The sequence below is a fragment of the Homo sapiens genome, chromosome 12, assembly GCF_000001405.40.
Source record: "Homo sapiens chromosome 12, GRCh38.p14 Primary Assembly".
Classification (NCBI taxonomy): Eukaryota; Metazoa; Chordata; class Mammalia; order Primates; family Hominidae; genus Homo; species Homo sapiens.
In genome coordinates, this window is record NC_000012.12 from 93,181,839 (window position 1) to 93,199,060 (window position 17,222).

At 41.5% G+C, this 17,222-nt stretch overlaps 1 long non-coding RNA gene across 1 annotated transcript in view, besides 1 other annotated feature; it reads right to left on the minus strand.

The window, feature by feature from the left end:
- LOC643339 (uncharacterized) overlaps positions 1-17,222 on the minus strand; it is a 373,979-nt gene that overhangs the window by 178,081 nt on the left and 178,676 nt on the right. The gene's annotated exons all lie outside the window — the stretch shown is intronic.
- Positions 2,548-2,697: an enhancer, noted in NCBI's record as "active region_6764". NCBI's record gives its function as "activates an Ori minimal core promoter by ATAC-STARR-seq in GM12878 lymphoblastoid cells {active_cell/tissue: GM12878}" and the evidence as "EXISTENCE:reporter gene assay evidence [ECO:0000049][PMID:35858748]".

Genomic DNA, 17,222 nt, shown 5'->3' on the forward strand with positions numbered 1-17,222 from the left:
TTTGGAAAGCGCTCAGTCAGAAAGAATTCTCCCAAGATTAGTTTACTGTGAAGTAGAAGGGAAGAACGTTTTAACTTTGGTTGGAAATCTGATGACATTACATAGAAGGTGATGAAACATCCTCTAAGAAACGGTTCTGATCCATTGTATGGCACCCCCCTCTCACATTCCCCCATTTTACCCACTAAAGAAGTTCTTTTACAAGAGGCTAAGGAAACCAAGCAATATAAGATCTAATCAAAACTGAGTGCTGGAAATGTGTGGGGAGAAATCCATAATTAAACTGAGCAATTAACTCCAGAAAGTTAACTGGGGCCAACTCTGACACTGCTATAAAGTTATAAAATCTCCAGCATCTCATTTCTTTGTCCCTCTACCCAATTTCCCCTCAAAGGTAAGCCTCTCTTTCTCTCTCCTCTCTTCTTCATATTTAATAAAACTGTTTGCCAGAAAGGAAAGAATCTTAGGTTAGTCATTTACACTTTAGTGCGAATTAAAGCCAGTGTGTCAACTCTCACAGGAATGAGAATTTCAAGCCATACTTCTAATTGTGGAATGGCTGTCATTGAATTCTTTTAAGGGTATTTCATGGAACAACTAAATATAAGGAAGAGGAGAGAAACTGCCCAAGTCTGCCTATGCCTAAAGTCAGCCTTAAGTTCAATCTTGAGGGTGACAGCTTTCATCTGCCACTCCCAATTGAAAGTGAATTCAGATTAATTCCTAGATGTTTGTTTGTTGTTTTTTTTTTTTTTTTTTTTTTTTTTTTTTTTTTTTTGGGACGGAGTCTCGCTCTGTCGCCCAGGCTGGAGTGCAGTGGCGGGATCTCGGCTCACTGCAAGCTCTGCCTCCCAGGTTCACGCCATTCTCCTGCCTCAGCCTCCCAAGTAGCTGGGACTACAGGCGCCCGCCACTACGCCCGGCTAATTTTTTTGTATTTTTAGTAGAGACGGGGTTTCACCATTTTAGCCGGGATGGTCTCGATCTCCTGACCTCGTGATCCGCCCGCCTCGGCCTCCCAAAGTGCTGGGATTACAGGCGTGAGCCACCGCGCCCGGCCAATTCCTAGATGTTGAATGAGAGTTATAATTTATCCTTTCAGGATCTACTGGTTTTCTTTTCTTTTTTTCTTTTTTTTTTTTTTCAGACAGAGTCTTGCTCTTGTTGCCCAGGCTGGCGTGCAATGGCATGATCTTGGCTCACTGCAACCTCCACCTCCCGAATTCAAGCTATTCTCCTGCCTCAGCCTCCCGAGTAGCTGGCATTACTGGCATGTGCCACCATGCCCGGCTAATTTTGTATTTTTAGTAGAGATGGGGTTTCTCCATGTTGGTCAGGTTGGTCTCGAACTCCCAACCTCAGGTAATACGCCTGCCTTGGCCTCCCAAAGTGCTGGGATTACAGGCGTGAGCCACCATGCCTGGCCGGTTTTTCTTTCTTTTTTACTTTTATTTTACGTTGAGGGGTACATGGGCAGGTTATGTAGGTAAATGGGGGTTTGTTTACATATATTTTGTCACTCAGGTACTAAGCCTAGTACCCAATAGTTATTTTTTTTCTGATCCTCTCCCTCCTCCCACCCTCCAGCTTCCAAAAGGCCCCAGTGTCTGTTCTCCTCTTTGTGTTCATGTGTTCTCATCATTTAGCTCCCACTTAGAAGTGAAAACAGGTGGTATTTGGTTTTCTGTTCCTGCATTAGTTTTCTAAGGATAACGGCCTGCAGCTCCATCCATGTTCCTGCCAAAGACATGATCTCATTCTTTTCTATGGTTGCATAGTATTCCATGGTGTATATGTACCATGTTTTCTTTATCCAATCAGTCATTGATGGGCATTTAGGTTGGTTCCACATCTTTACTGTTGTGAATAGTGCTGCAACAAACATTCGCATGCATGTGTCTTTATGGTAGAATGATTTATATTCCTTTGGGTATATCCGGGATCTACTGGTTTCAATATCCACCTCTTCTCCTCTAGGCCCAGAAAACAGGTTAATTTCTGATGGCTTTTAAGTGTCAGCCCTATAGGACCCATTCTCACTTGACACCAGGTATCTCCACTCCAGATGCCCTTCCCCCTACCAGGTTTTACTTGAAAAGCACAACATGAGTGGCTTGGGCCAAATGTGGCCATAGGTCCTTCAACAAATGTTGAGTGAGTGTGACCCTTGGAGCAGAAAGTTGACAGGGATCTGACACATGGCTCGTCCCCCAGAGGCTCTCACTGCTCTCTTAGCTGGAAGAACTTCAAACTCTCAGACAGTGGAAAATTCAGTCTGTTCCAAGCAGGAGACACAAATGTGCTCTTAAAATTCATACTGGCGTTTGGAACTGCCCAGGGTATTATAAATATAATCGTTCTGAAGTGTGAGTGTGTGTCAGGGAGAGAAAGAGATGGAGAGAGAGAGAGAGACAGACAGAGTGTGTGTGTGTGTGTGTGTGTGTGTGTTTGTGTGTGTGTGTGTGTGTGTGTGTGACGACAGAAAGGAAAGTGAGAGCAGACCCAGGGCCAGCAAGTATCCATGCCAAGAACACAAGGCCAAGCCCAGAGAAGAATGTCCACCAGATGCCCAGTGACTACATTTTGGATTTTCTACTGCTTCCTCCTCAGAGAAAAGGGGGGAAATAAATTAGAGAGAACGCAAAGGGAGAGAGAGAGTGAGCAAGATGGGTGGGGATGGAGAGAGAAAGGAACAGGAAGTGGGAGCCTTACTAAACATAGAGCAAGAGGCCCAGACTGAGAGAGAGAGGCTGTCAGAATGAGGAACTACTGAGAGATCACAGGCTTCTCCACCAGTTACAAGTGATTAATATCTACATTTATTGTGTTTTGAAGCCATCAAGTTCTATGTCCAAATGACCCCACCCCTCCCATAATGCAGCACCAAGACTAATCCACCATCCACAGGGCATTCTGTTTCCTGCCAAACAGATGGGGCTTATTGAGGTTGGTCTTACACAGCCTCTTCCAGGTCTTGGACACACGCTGGCCAGCCTCTGTGGCTGAGGAATAGAATAAAGTTAAGTGAACTGACCCTACACGTGGGCCCCTATGACCTTCATTGCTCTTGAACTAACTGAGCTGACCAGCCAGCCTGAAGCAACATGGCCCCAGGGCAGGGGCTCTTAACCTTTTATGCACCAGGCTTCCTTTGGCAGGCTGGTAAAGCCACAGACTCCCTTCTCAGAATAATGTTATTAGGCATAAAATGAAATACATAAAGCTACAAAGGAAATCAGTTACAACATCAAATATTTTAAAGATTACAAATACAGTAATATTTTTACTCTTTTATCAGTGCTTTAAATAATAGGATCTGGTGAGAGGTCAAATAACAACCATCATTTCAAAGAGTGATGAGAGAAGGAGTGTTTCCATTGTCTACAACAACTACCAGGTGATATGAAAAGATCTGTTATTTCTGTGGCAAGAGTCATAGGCGCTGCTAATACCAGTGCAGTTTCTTGCCTACATTCTTAATAGAAACAAAAAGCTAGATTTCAGTGAGAGGTTAGATAAAATAAAGATGCAATTTTTCCCCATCCAAATTTATGAACCAGAACAAAGGCAATAAAAGGAAGGGAGCTGCAACAACAGTAATCGTAGTGACAAAGCAACATCTGCTACAAGAACAACAGCAAAAAATGGCTGCCATCTCTGCTCTGTATCAGGCCCTGGGTTAAATGCTTTCTACTCATCTTTCTCTTTCATTCTGAGGGAGGCATCATTTTGCCCACTTTACAGATGAGGAAACTGAGGCTTTAGGACATTAGGGAACTTGTCTAGGACCATAGCCAATAAGTAGCTGTGGCAAGAATGGAAGTCAAGGCTGTCTGACACTGAAGGCCACATTCGCTGTGCACTGTGTCTTCAGAAAGAGATAGGGTGTGTGTGTGTGTGTGTGTGTGAGAGAGAGAGAGAGAGAGAGAGAGAGAGAGAAAGCTGTTTCCTTTTTCTCATTCATGCCAGAAGAATTGGACTGGTTTAAGCATCTATACTTTCACCCATCTTGACTATCCATTTCCATCTTTTTAATGTTTGCTCTTTTCAGTTCAAAGACCCTTATGCTTCATACATTCATAGCCAGTACATATATGTTGGGTACTGGCTATGTTTACTGACACCAAAAATTCAAAGATAAATATGTTCTCTGACTTTCAGGAAGCTTATAACTTATTGGAGAAAACAGATATGCAAACAGATAAATTATAATATGCAGCAATTAGAATTCAAGGTAATTTGCACAATAAGGAGAATTTATTGACTCATATAACTGAAAAGTCCAGAAGTAGACAGGCTTCAGGCACTGTTTGATTAGGTCTTCATCAGCAGTGTGCTAGGAAGTATGTCACAACTAACTGACTTTCCAGAGAAAAAAGAGCCATGAGTTTGTCTATTTCCATGGTGTAAATACTCCCACCACGACCTATTTCAAGCTACCAACATGAAGTCACTGAAGATAGAATTAGGAAGAGATGTGCGCAGTCACCCCTTGCCTGATGCAGGCTAGCTCCAGCATGCTATGACCATTCTCATTTCTTCACAGTTCTCTCAGTTTTTCCATCCTCTGTATGCTGGTTTTGTCCTGATGATGCAACCAGCAGCTGGGACTGTACACTTTCCTTCTAGTGTCTAGCAAGCTTCTCTTCTACTAATCACCAAAAAAAAATTCCTGAGCTCTTCTGAAAGAATCGCTGTATCCAAGGAATATCACCCAGCTGGCTTAGCCTTGGGTGGCATATTAAAATAAGCAATAGCTACCTTCTCTCAAGGCTCTTCATTTCACCTATCAAGTACTCCTTGTTGGACAAAGCTACGGTCTGAATGTTCTTGTCCCTTCAAAATTCATATGTTGGAACCTAATACTTAAAGTGATGGTATTAAGAGGTGGGGGTCTTTGAGGAAGTGATTAAGTCATGAGGGCTCCACCCTCATGAATGAGATTACTGCCCTCATAAAAGAGGTTGAAGGGAGTGTCCTTGTCCCTTCCACCATGTGAGGTCATAGCAAGAAGGTGCCGTATAAGGAATGGGCCCTTACTAGGTGCCTTAATTTTGGACTTCCCAGTCTCCAGAACTGTGAGCAATAAATTTCTATTGTTTATGAATTACCCAGCCTAAGGTATTTGGGTATAGCTGCCTGAATGGACTAAGACAGGCAGAATTAGCACCAAAAACCTATCCTCTAGAAGGTGGAATTATCAGCAAGACAAGAAAATGATATTCTTGTTTACCCATTTTAGTGCCTGTGTCAACCAGATGTTCCCTTCAGAACTGAGACCCTCATTTTCCCACTCTGGAAGTATTGATGGCTGATGGCTCACAGCTGAGTTCCTCCCAAAGCATTGCTCTGACCAAAAGGAGCTGCCAGACTCGAGGATATTGTCCCCCTTAAGAGGACACTGCCTCTAATGGCTGATCAATGAGTGAGTATAAAAGCCTGAGGTCACCTCAATTCAGGCATGTCTGAAGGATCATCCTGGCTCCAGCGCTTCCAAAGGGGAATCAGATAAAGCCTCTGTTGAAATCATATACTGGGTCAATTTCTCCCTCTGTGCCATCATCCTTCCCTCTCTTGCCTACATCATTCCTATGTGTCCTCCCCACTAAACCTCCTGCATGCAATCTCAGTGTCGGTTTCCATGAAACTGAATATTCAATGCCTATCTCTAAACAAGTCACCAGATGTTCTAGACAAATCAGGGCCCATCCTGGAGCTGGGAGTGGAATCAGTCCCACCCACATCCCATGGCTGCCCCACGGTGGGAGAGGGTTGGGATGTATCTTGAGAAATAACTGCACTGTCTGCTACATAATAAGGCATACTGGGTGATGTAAAAGACGTATGAACAATATCACAGTCCAATGGCTGAGCCATTATAGGCATAGAGAAAGAAAAAAGCAGGCCCTGACATCCAGAAATAGTCACCGGTAGACCTCAATATTATTACAAGCTGATCTGACACTCACAGCCAGGCTATAGTTCTCCTGTTGGACATAGACAATCTCACAGAACACCAACCTCAGACAAGCTTATTCTGAACCACGATAAAATGAAACAAAACAAGGTCACTACCTAATTTTGTCCATGCACAAAAACAAGGTCACTCTGCCCCCTGTAATGCACTCAATCATAGAATTGCCTGGATTTCTGATGGTATCTGACCTAGAGCAAATCTTTAATTTCTTAAGCCCTCCACAAATCACCCAACCAAAGTCCAAATCTTCTAGTAGTTTCTTTCTAACACAGTTGCTAAGATAGTGTCCTTAAAGTATGTTCTCCCTAAATCAATGAGTAGTAAGCCCAGCTTGTTTAATTATCAGTGTGTTCCTGGTGGTCTTTGGCTGGAGGGCATTGGTAGCCTTCAATCAGTGTTTGTATGGTGAATAACTGGGTGTGTAAATGGCTATGTTGCCCCTCTTTCAAGAAAGGCTTAACAGAAGACCTTTGAGCTGGTTCTTAAAGGAAGATTGAGCTTTTCCAAGCAAAGCAGGGTCAGAGAGAAGTCATTCCAAGCAAAGGAAGCAAGATGTGCAAAGGTTGGCATCACTGAAATGAAGGATGAAGAGTCCATATGGGTGGGGTGTTGGGTGGACCGGAAGGGTGCTAGGACCAAATGTGGATATCCTTGTAAGTCACAACTAATCTTTTAGGCAAAGAGGACAGAGAAGCAGGAGAGAGACAGAGAGCTCGAAATTTGAAATCTGATTGCAGAGAGTATTACTGGAGTAGCCATAACTATTTTTCCTCCAACCCTTTCTTTCTTTTTTGGAGAGAAGGAGAAGACATTTGCTTTGGTTGAAGCAAAATTGCATATTTTGAGTTTTCTCAGTTTTCCCAACCTGACATTTAAGGCGCACACCTAACAACACTGAGCCCTTAATTCCCTGGATATTGTGAATGCTTCGAAGACATCATGGCCTTCTCTCAAAGGTTTGATAACTTGCACTTCACTATATAATTCCTCTTGCTTGTCAGAAGTGCAATTCAGCTGGTCACTTCCTCTGTTATTTATAATTAAATGACTTACCATACATTCCTTAAAAGAGACTTCCAGATGCCCTGATAGAAAATGCCAATGTCTTCCCACTTCCTTGTGTGTGTCCACCTTTGACTCTCCATTCGTGGCGCCCCCAAGATGACCTTCATCGTCTAGGGGTCTTATCTCTAGGACCTCCCAGGCCGTACGATTCCTGCAGTCCCTCCGTCTGTGTTTAAGTCTTGCTTGTGCTCCACAAAATCCTTCTGCCTTAACAGCCCTACAGCTGCACGGCCTCCTCTTCTGTTCCCTTCTGTCTGTCTTGCCCTGCCCTGCCACTGAGCACTCAGATTTTATAACATCTTGCCTTGCCAACTGGTTTTGTGAGTATCATATAAGTATCTGTTAATTATAGATCTTTTACAAATAACATATACCTGATACAGCTGAAGGAGACTGAAATGTCCCCACTCTTACAAATCCATGTTAGTGCTGCCCTAGACTACCCTTAAAAAGAATTTTGTGTATATTTGTGAAATCCACATTTTCTACTTTTACTCTCTCTATATATATCTCAATAACCTATGTATTACTTTGTGCTTTTAAACATAAAGATAATCATAGTGTTGTATCATTTTATTCTATGCTTTTTATACTCACAATTATGTTTTAAGATTCAGTTTTGTTAATATATGCAAAGCTTTTAGAACAGTGCCTGTAAACACCATATAAGTATTAGCTACTATTATTTTCAGTATTATTATTATTGTTATTTTGAGGCAGCATCTCATTCTGTCACCCAGGCTGAGTGCAGTGGCATGATCACAGCTCACTACGCCTCAACCTCCCAGGGTCAAGTGATCTTCCAACCTCAGCCTCCTGAGTAGCTGGGACTAACTACAGGCATGCACCCCATGTCCAGCTAATTTTTGTATTTTTGGTAGAGATGAGATCTCACCATGTTGCACAGGCTGGTCTCAAACTCCTGGGCTCAAGCAATCTGCTTGCTTCAGCCTCCCAAAGTGCTGGGATTACAGGTGTGAACCACCACACCCAGCCTATTATTTTCAATATTATTAATAAATGTATTTACATCATTCCTTGTAATTATAGTAAGCTAACATTGATCATACAACATTTTATTTATCCCATTCCTCTCTTGATGTGTTGGGACTTAGAAAACGACACCCCAGAGTGAAGGCCTCTGAAGCAAAGTCTCTCTCTGACCTTCTCCTACTCTCCTGTCTCTTGCCCCTCATTCTTCCCTAAGGCAAGCCATAGAAAATGTGATTCCTCTTCCCCAAGGCAGATCTTAGAAACCAAAACAGATTTTACATGAAGCCAGTCATAAAACCTAAAAATATTACTGTAATCTTCCCCTGCCTTTCTGTGTAAGAACTGGCTGCAAAGAAATTAAGACCCTCGTCCCAGAGGGTTCCTATTCCATACCTGGGAGAAAGAAATGCTGCACAGAGAGGCCAAGAAGAAGCTGAGCTGACGGGGCTTGATAGGTATCGCGACTCGGTCTATTTCCATTAGATTATTCCTGTTTCCCCCAATTGTAGTTCTACATGGCTGTACATTCTTCATTGAACCTAAGCATAAAAAAAGGGATCAATTTTTCCTGGATCTTTGGTCTCCATTCTGAAGACTCTCATGTCTCATAAAACTGTGATCAAATAAATGTATTATGCTTTTCTCTTGTTAGCTTGTCTTTGTTATAGGGGTGTTGGCCATGACCCTTATGACAGGGAGGAAAGGGATCACCTTCTTTCTGCCCCTAAGGTACATATTTAGGTTGTTTCCAATTTTTCACAATTAATTATCAGCAGTATCCCAAAGAATATCCTTAAATATGCCATGTTCATATGTTCAAGAGTTGGTATTTGCTTAAAAGTGGACTTGCTGGGCTGTAAGGAGAATGTATTTTAGGTTTTGCTAGCTATTGTCAAATTGTTTCCCAAAATGTCTGTACCCTCAGCAGTGTATGAGAATTCTTATTTTTCTATCTTTGCCAACCACCACTGATTTTTTCAAAAGTTTGTGAGTACAAAGTAATAATCTTGTTTTAACTTGCATTCTTCTTTTCATTAATACGTGATATTTGTACATTTTTTTTCTCTCCATTTATTGGCCATTATGCACTGGGCCTTAACCTTTGCTGGGGTCTTAGACGCCTTTGAGAATTTACTTCAGAAAAATACACACATATATATATATACACACATACACTTTATAAACACATTGAGGGGCTTCACAGAGTCCCTGAAGACCCATCCACAAAGCCCCTTCAGAGCAGAGACTCTCGAGCTTTTAGTAGATATGAGAACCTTCTGGGAAGTTTTTAAAAATGCAGATTCCTAGGACCCATCTTTGAGGATCCTGACTCAGAGGGCCCTAGCTAGGAACTGAAGGGCTGGTGCAGGTGATTAAAAAAAGAAAGAAAGAAAGAAAGAAAGACAACCAAGACTATACTTTCAGGGGCCATTTCTGTAGTTCGTTAAGAAAGACAATCTTGAGTTTCTGGATTCCCAGTAAGAACTCCTATTTCTGCTTTCCAAAACGTTCCCTTCTCCTACAGCTATGAAGCAAAGGATAAAGTCACCAAGTTTAATGTACTAAAGCTGTAACTTGCCTTTAAATTGATGCTGTAGCTACTTTTAAATCCATGGTTACTTCTGCAGATATACCTTGTGCCTCTCTCCTCCTTAGCTGGAAAGGTCGGTGAGGGAATGAATAAATAGGGTGACATGTGAGACAAAGAAAAACACAAGGAAAGGAAAAAAAATTAGGAAATTCGAAGCTATTCAGAAAATGCTACATAAAAAGCATCATCCTACTAAATATGAACAGCTTGTGTTTGGAATGGTTTGTGTTTCTAATTTTATTTCATGAGCAAGCTCATTTTTTTTTCTCTGCCAGATACTTCAAAGATTCTCTTGCAAAAAGAAGGAAATAAATTTATTTTCCTCTTGGATCCAAATTCACATAAATGATTCTGTTGTAAGATGAAGAAAATTGATTGCTTCAATGGCAAATAAGATACTTTTTTAATTTAAAAATTTAGTACTAAGGAAATCATGTGCCAGGGAATTCTCAAAACATTTTGAGAGAGGTTGAGAATCCCGGTATGATGAGATGATGATGTTACTCATGCACATATTCCCCCGCTTTCTTTTTCAAGCCTGCAAGTGTCAAGACAGAGTTAATCCTTATTTTTGACTCAGTCACACGCAAATGCGTTCTTCTCTGAGCTGGTCAGTGGCCAGTATCCTCTTGAACCTTTGGTGGAATTCAGGTCCGTGAATGATGCCAGGAACAAGAATTAGGATCTGATTCTAGGACTTTATAATGACTCACTCGGTACCTTTGTCCAGTAACAATAGAAAAATGACTCGGTTGCTCTATCCATGAAACTAGGGCAGTGATGCTGGCTGCCTGCCTCACACAGGGTTGAGGGGAAACCAGGCTTACAAAATGACAGAGGTCTCCGGAGCACGGGCATCACATGGGAGGAGGTGGGGGTATCTTCACAGAGCCAGAAGACAACAGAGGGGGCAACCTGACACAGAACCAAAGGAGGTCCTTGAACCCTGCCACACCAGCCTGGGTGGAGGGTATTCTGTATACACTGTATACACTGGAGAACATGGAATGAAGTCAACTTACATCTTTTGTCTTTCTGGAGACCATCTTTTTACTTTCACACATTACTCATGGATTAAGAAGAAAAGTGGTGGCCATGACATTTTCTAACATTTTCTGGTATCCATTATCTTGTTCGCTTGGCCATACAGTGCTTCTTATACTCTAGATTTTCAGATTCTAGACAGTATGTTCATTAAAAGCAGGAATTAAAATTGACATATAGATATACATAGACGTGTGTGTGGTGGGTAAGGTGCCTGGCACTCAATATAAACACTGGATATAATAAATGAGTGAATTCCTACACACAGAAAAACACAACACACACAAACACAAATAAGTCAGCATTTTTCCAGGACCCAAGCCACAAGGAAGAAGATTTGGGGAGTGGGAGACTTCTGCTGCCAACCTCATTCCTGCCTGTATTATTTAGGATATAAATACCATTGCAGTAAAGGAGACTGAGTGACCATAACTTAAACAAAATAGAAGTTTGTTTTTCTCTCATATAACATGGCTGCTCTGTGGTATCACAACCCCAAGTTCCTTCCACCCTTCTTAGAGTGTTATCTCCATCTGCATGGTCCATGTAGCTCACCGCAGCATCTGCATCCCAGCTGATAGAATAAGGAAAGGAAGGAGAGCATATCTTCCCTTTCAAAAAGGCTGTATTTCTTGGGCCAGAACTTAGTCACATGACCACATCTAGCTGCAAGGGAGGCTGGGAAATGTAGTCTTTATTCTGAGTAGCTGTAGATCCAGTTGAAAAATAAGCATTGTCTTAAAAAAATAAAAAATAAATAAATATTGGGGGAAGTAACTGTCCCTGTCACACTGAAAAAATAAAAGCACAAAGATGTAGGTTTCTCAGAATCACTAGAAAAATTCCCAGTAAACCTAGGACTAGTACTAGGCTGGGTGCAGTGGCTTGCACCTGTAATCCCAGCTACTTGGGTGGCTGAGGCAGAAGGATGGCTTGAGGTCAGGAGTTTGAGACTAGCCCAGTCAATATAGTGAGACTCTCATCTCTAAAATATAAATTAGCCAGTCATGGTGGCACACATAGAACAAGATCCTATCTCTAAAAAGGAAGTAGCTAATACTTAGTTGGTCTCACAAGCATGTCAATCTACTAAGCAGATGTTCACTCCAGAGAAAGACAGTTCTCAACTTCTTACATTTGCCTTTTAAACAATTTACACTTTCCTCTATTAATCTCTGATAAATTTAAGCTTCATTTCCCATACCAAATTTGGGTTTTCATACTGCAGGTAGAATTTTATATTTTCTGACCTCTAGGAGAATAAATGCCCAACCTGATCACCACACATACAAGGCTAGAAGATGAATACATTTGGTGTGAAATCAGAGATCTGCCAGCATTCAGCTTGGGAAATAAGAATAAAAAGCCAAGGAGCCTGTCCAGAATAGGTAAGGTTACGAATGATCAGACAACCTAATAGTGATAATTAACGTAACCATAACATAGTTAAAATCTATGGAGGACTTACTTTGCATCAAATGCTTTGCCCACATCATTTTATTTAGAATTTTCTTTTAATGTTGGAGGGTGTATTAGTCTATTTTCATGCTGCTGATAAAGACATATCCAAGACTGGGCAATTTACAAAAGAGAGAGATTTATTGGATTTACAGTTTCATGTGGCTGGGGAGGCCTCATAGTCATGGTGGAAAGTGAAAGGCACATCTCACAAGGTGGCAGACAAGAGAAGAGAGCTTGTGCCGAGAAACTCCTGTTTTAAAAACCATCAGCTCTCCTGAGACCCATTGACTATCATGAGAATAGCACCAGAAAGACCGCCCGATGATTCAACCATCTCCCACCAGGTCCCTCCCACAACATATGGGAATTATGGGAGCTACTAGATGAGATTTGGGTGGGGACACAGAGCCAAACCATATCAGAGGGCTATCCTGTTACTAACCCTATTTATAGTCAAGGAAATGGGCTTAGAAAAAAGTTGAGGAACTTGACCAAGATCACACAAATACCAATTGACAGAGCCTGGACCTTAACTCAAGAATCTAACTCTACTGTTGGTACCTGAAATCACTGATCACTGTGGAGTCTCAATTAAAGAAAAAGACAGGCTGGTGGGAGCAGGGAAAAGCAACAAAAAAAGGCAAATACACTATAAGTCTGCCTTTCTTCATGGTCCAGGACATACAGACCTCCTGTGCAAATAATTCATAATCTTCCTGTGTCCAGCTATCACCAGACCCTCAGCTAATACAAAAAATGCAAGTTAGCTCCCTGCAAACTTGGTATTAGCAGTACTGCACGTAGCATTCTGCAGCCCAAAACCGTCCTATAAAATCTCCAGCAAGCCTTTGTCTCCTGGCAGTCAGCTTCTGTTCTGCTGATTTGCCCGTTGCTTTCTTGCAATGTATTTTCATACTTTCTCTAATAAATTTACCTTTCTTTATCTACAACTGTCTTGGTAAATTCTTTTACCTCCACGCCACTGGCCCAGATAATCATCACTCCCCAGCAATAATCTCTACCACTACGCTGATGGCAAGGAGGACAGTGAGCAATGTCCCACGCATCCTTCCCGCCCACCATCACATGGATAGGTATCAATCTTGTTGTTCATCCTATCTGGGAGTATTGAGTTTGGTGACCTAAAAAAGAATATAAAAGTTCCAACCATCAGTATTTAAGAAGTGATCTCAGAAATTTACTTAAATCTCCACATAACCTTTGTAAAACAAAAAAATCCAGAAAAAAATTGAAATATATTAAAAGAGACTTCAAACTTTGATGAAAATGTTTTGTAATTACTAAAGTTTACAAAATCTACACTATTGCAGATGGTCATATCTACAAACTACTCTTTTATGGCACTTACTGCTATTGGAATTCATCACGTAATAATTTGTGTAAGTTTACCTTGCCAGTGGAGAGAAGACTCCAAGAAGGTGTTTGTTCCTAAATCGGGAACAGAATAGGTGTCCAATAATTATTTACTGAGTGAATCAATGTTTTTCTTTCAACATATCTTTTTAGAATTATTTGCCACTTATTAGAAATAGTTAATATAAATAATTATATTATTAGATGTTGCTGTGCTTCAAAATTTGATACTAAGAGCTTGCACTATAAAAAGTTTTGCTTAATCCGTGTTAACTTATCACAGGAATTTAATATCCCACTGACTTGTGTGTGTCTGTGTTCCCTGTGGGATTTCATTTCTATTAATAAGTTTGTTTACTGGACTACTTTTTGCCCCCAACATTTCGTGTGGTCGGTTTTAAATTTGACACTGCTGGATATGAAGGAGTCAAGTCATTAAGAACTCAAACTGCTTTAGAACATGGTAATTATGCTCCAAGTGGAATGAACCGTGGATCCATCTGACTTTAATAAATCCATTCTTGAAAAGAAATCTCTTCTCCCTGAGATATATAATTAATGTAACATGAAGTCTAAAACTAAATTTCTCCCCAGAAATTCCAGGTGAAAATTTCAGGACACTTTTTACCCTAGAATTTTGATTCTTCGTCACATAGGCAGACAGATTCTTACTAAGTATGCACAAATGCTTAACGGGCCCAAGAGACTTTGACTTCCTTAAGGTTTTCTAAATGGTTGCTCTCTCAAATGCATGTTCATGTTACTGTTTCCTTTTGTGAGCAAGCCCTCCCTCCACAGCTCCCTCTCAATCCAGCCTTTCAGCTGCAGGATTGTAAAGAACTGAGGATTCCCCAATGTGAGAATTGACCAAGAGTTTATATACCCCACTACCTTTTATAGGTTGTGGGAGCCATTCGTCTCAAAAGGAGAACAGCGCCCTGGTGTCTTTGTGAGTTTGCATCAAGGGCTCCTCACTGAACAGAATGTTTGCTAGAAAAAGACATGCAGATTGGTTAGCTAGTTTTTTTCCATGAAGATTTCCCCCCACCCCAACTTTTTATTTTGAAAATTTTCAAGCCTACAGAAAAGTTGAAAGCACAGTTCAATGAACACCCATAAACCTTTCACAAAGATTAATCAGTTGTTAACATTTGTCATGTCCCAAAGAACATTTTCTACCTCTTTACATATCTGTATGTGTGTGCTTACAAATATAGAAACAGGGTCTTGCTATATTGCCCAGGCTGGAGTGTAGTGGCAATTCAGAGCCCCAAGCATGGCTCACTACAGTCCCAAACTCCTGAGCTCAAAAGATCCATGATCTTCACCTTCCTGAGTAGCTAAGACTACAGGCATGTGCCACACACCCAGCGTGTGTCTGTGTGTGTATGTGTGTGTGTTATTGAACCATTTGAAAGTAAGTTGCAGGAATCATGATGCTATACCCTTAAATACTTACTCTTATTTGTCCTAAAAAAAAGGATACTTTCCTACATAGTTATAATATCATTGTCATACCCAAGAAACTTTCCTTTGATTCAATAACATTATCTAATATACAGTCCACAATCACATTTCCCCAGTTGTTCTATAATGTATTTTACAGTTGGGTTTTTTTAGGGGAGTGCCTATCTGTATTCATTCAAGATTCATGCATTGCATTTAGTTATCATGTACATTTAGTCTCTTTTAATCTAATTCTACCTACCTCCAGCCCTGCCTTTTTGGTTTTGCTCTGTCCTTTCAAGTTTTTTGAAGAGTTTAGGGCAGTTGTCTGGCAGAATGTGCCCTAATCTGGTTTTATGTGATTGTTTCCTTGTGATTCAATTCTGCTTAAGCAATTTTGGCAAGAATGATACAATGAGATGCTGTTCCCATGAACTTTGAATAAACTCAAGGACAGGGATTTTACCAAGCCTGAGTGATCAGATTCAAAGAGGCTTAAAAAAAAAGGCATTTTTGAAGATGAGAATTTAGTAAGTATATGGCTCTTCATAGCAGGGTGAGATGTCCCAAGCAAAATGAAAAAATGGAGCTTCTAAGATTAGTGTCCAAGATTATTCATGACTTGAAAGAGGCCCTTGTTATGTCAAATCTAGCAACCTTTGTTGAATCATCAGGACTGAGATTTGGGCAGAGTCAACCTCTGCTGTTGTAAAGTGGATAATTACTAACTTGGTGCAATTTCAGGAATGCAGAGGCCACTCTTCCCCACTCAGCTACACTGCCTCCATTATGGGAGTGGTGACGCCTGTCTGCTATTATTAAAGATCAGAGCTGCTCTCTAATGACTATCTACTATATGTCAGGCCTTGTGCTTAGTGGTTTATTAATCTGTTCCTTACAAAAACCTCATGAGGTAAACATTATTATTCCCATTTCCTAGGTGGGAAAGTGAGGCTTAACAATGTAACTTCCCCAAGGACCCAAGCAGCTAATTTAAGATGTGAACCAAAATCTCCCTCCATAACTAAAGTTCCATAATTCCATGTTCCATGTGATGCTCCTCTATTCCCCAGTCCCAGTCTTACCTCATTCCCTAAATGGCTTTTCCTTCTCTCTCTAGAGCATACATTACACTGGACATCTGATTACCCCATTTTATGCCAATAGATCCTTCTACAAATGCTAACCATTATTGTGTGTGCCAGGTCCAGTTTGTGCCAGGCACCTTGCTGAATGCTCTACACACCCAAACTCATTTACTCTTCCCAAGAACCCCAGAAGGAAGGTGTGCATCAGTAATGTCCTGTGACCACTCTGATAGTAGATGGCAGAAAGAGAATCTGAACCAGATCTGACTTCAAGCCTGAGTTCCTAACAAAGATAGGAAGAACAAGGCAACCCCGGATGATACAGTAGCCAGACACTTGCTAGTAAAGGCCAGAACACTGACTCACTAAGCTCTGAACTCCTCTGCCCCCATGCTGCCAGGGGCACAACCCCAACAGACTGCCCAGCACACTGCCCTAATGGCCATTGACTCATCTGCTCCAACGAGCAAGTCACTGCACAAAACTCCTCCCCCACAGAAAGGTGTTGGTCCTCCGGCATTCAGAAAGAACCAGGAGCCAACATACCACTCACAGGAAGAAAACGCACACACTGTCTCTATTTGTTATTCCTCCTACACAAACTCTTTAAAATGATTGAGTTTAATAAAGGAAGATGTTTCCCTGCAGCTGTAGAGAGGAAATGTTCTAAAGTAAAAATCAGAACACAGTCTGACTAGGATCACTATGCCTATAGCAAGGATGTCCTCAAGCGGGGAAAATGAACTCGGCTAAATGCATCCAGTCTGTTCCTCTGGCCCTTCTAATGAGCAGGACCTGCAGAAGGCGAGGAAGGTTATGGTCGCACCCATAAACACCTCTTGGAGGCACCTGCCTTATCCATGCCCCGTTCTTTCACAAGTGCACCCCACTCCCGACCCCACTTCCCTGACAAAGCTGACAGCACCAACAGTAGACGCCTGTTAGGGCATCTTTCCTAGATTCTCTCCTAGAGACTGGTATTTAGCAATTCCTGCTCTTGAAGGTTCTTGAACTTAGAGCAGTAGAAAGGCCAGGAGGAAAAGCCAGTCTTGGCTGAGCAGAATAAAGCAGCCTCAGTGAGAGATGAGATGAGAGACAGACACGAGCCCAGGTGGACCCGTCACAGCCCCGTCTCAACACCGCCCAGTGAATCTATCACACATGCCTAGTACATTTGTCTCCC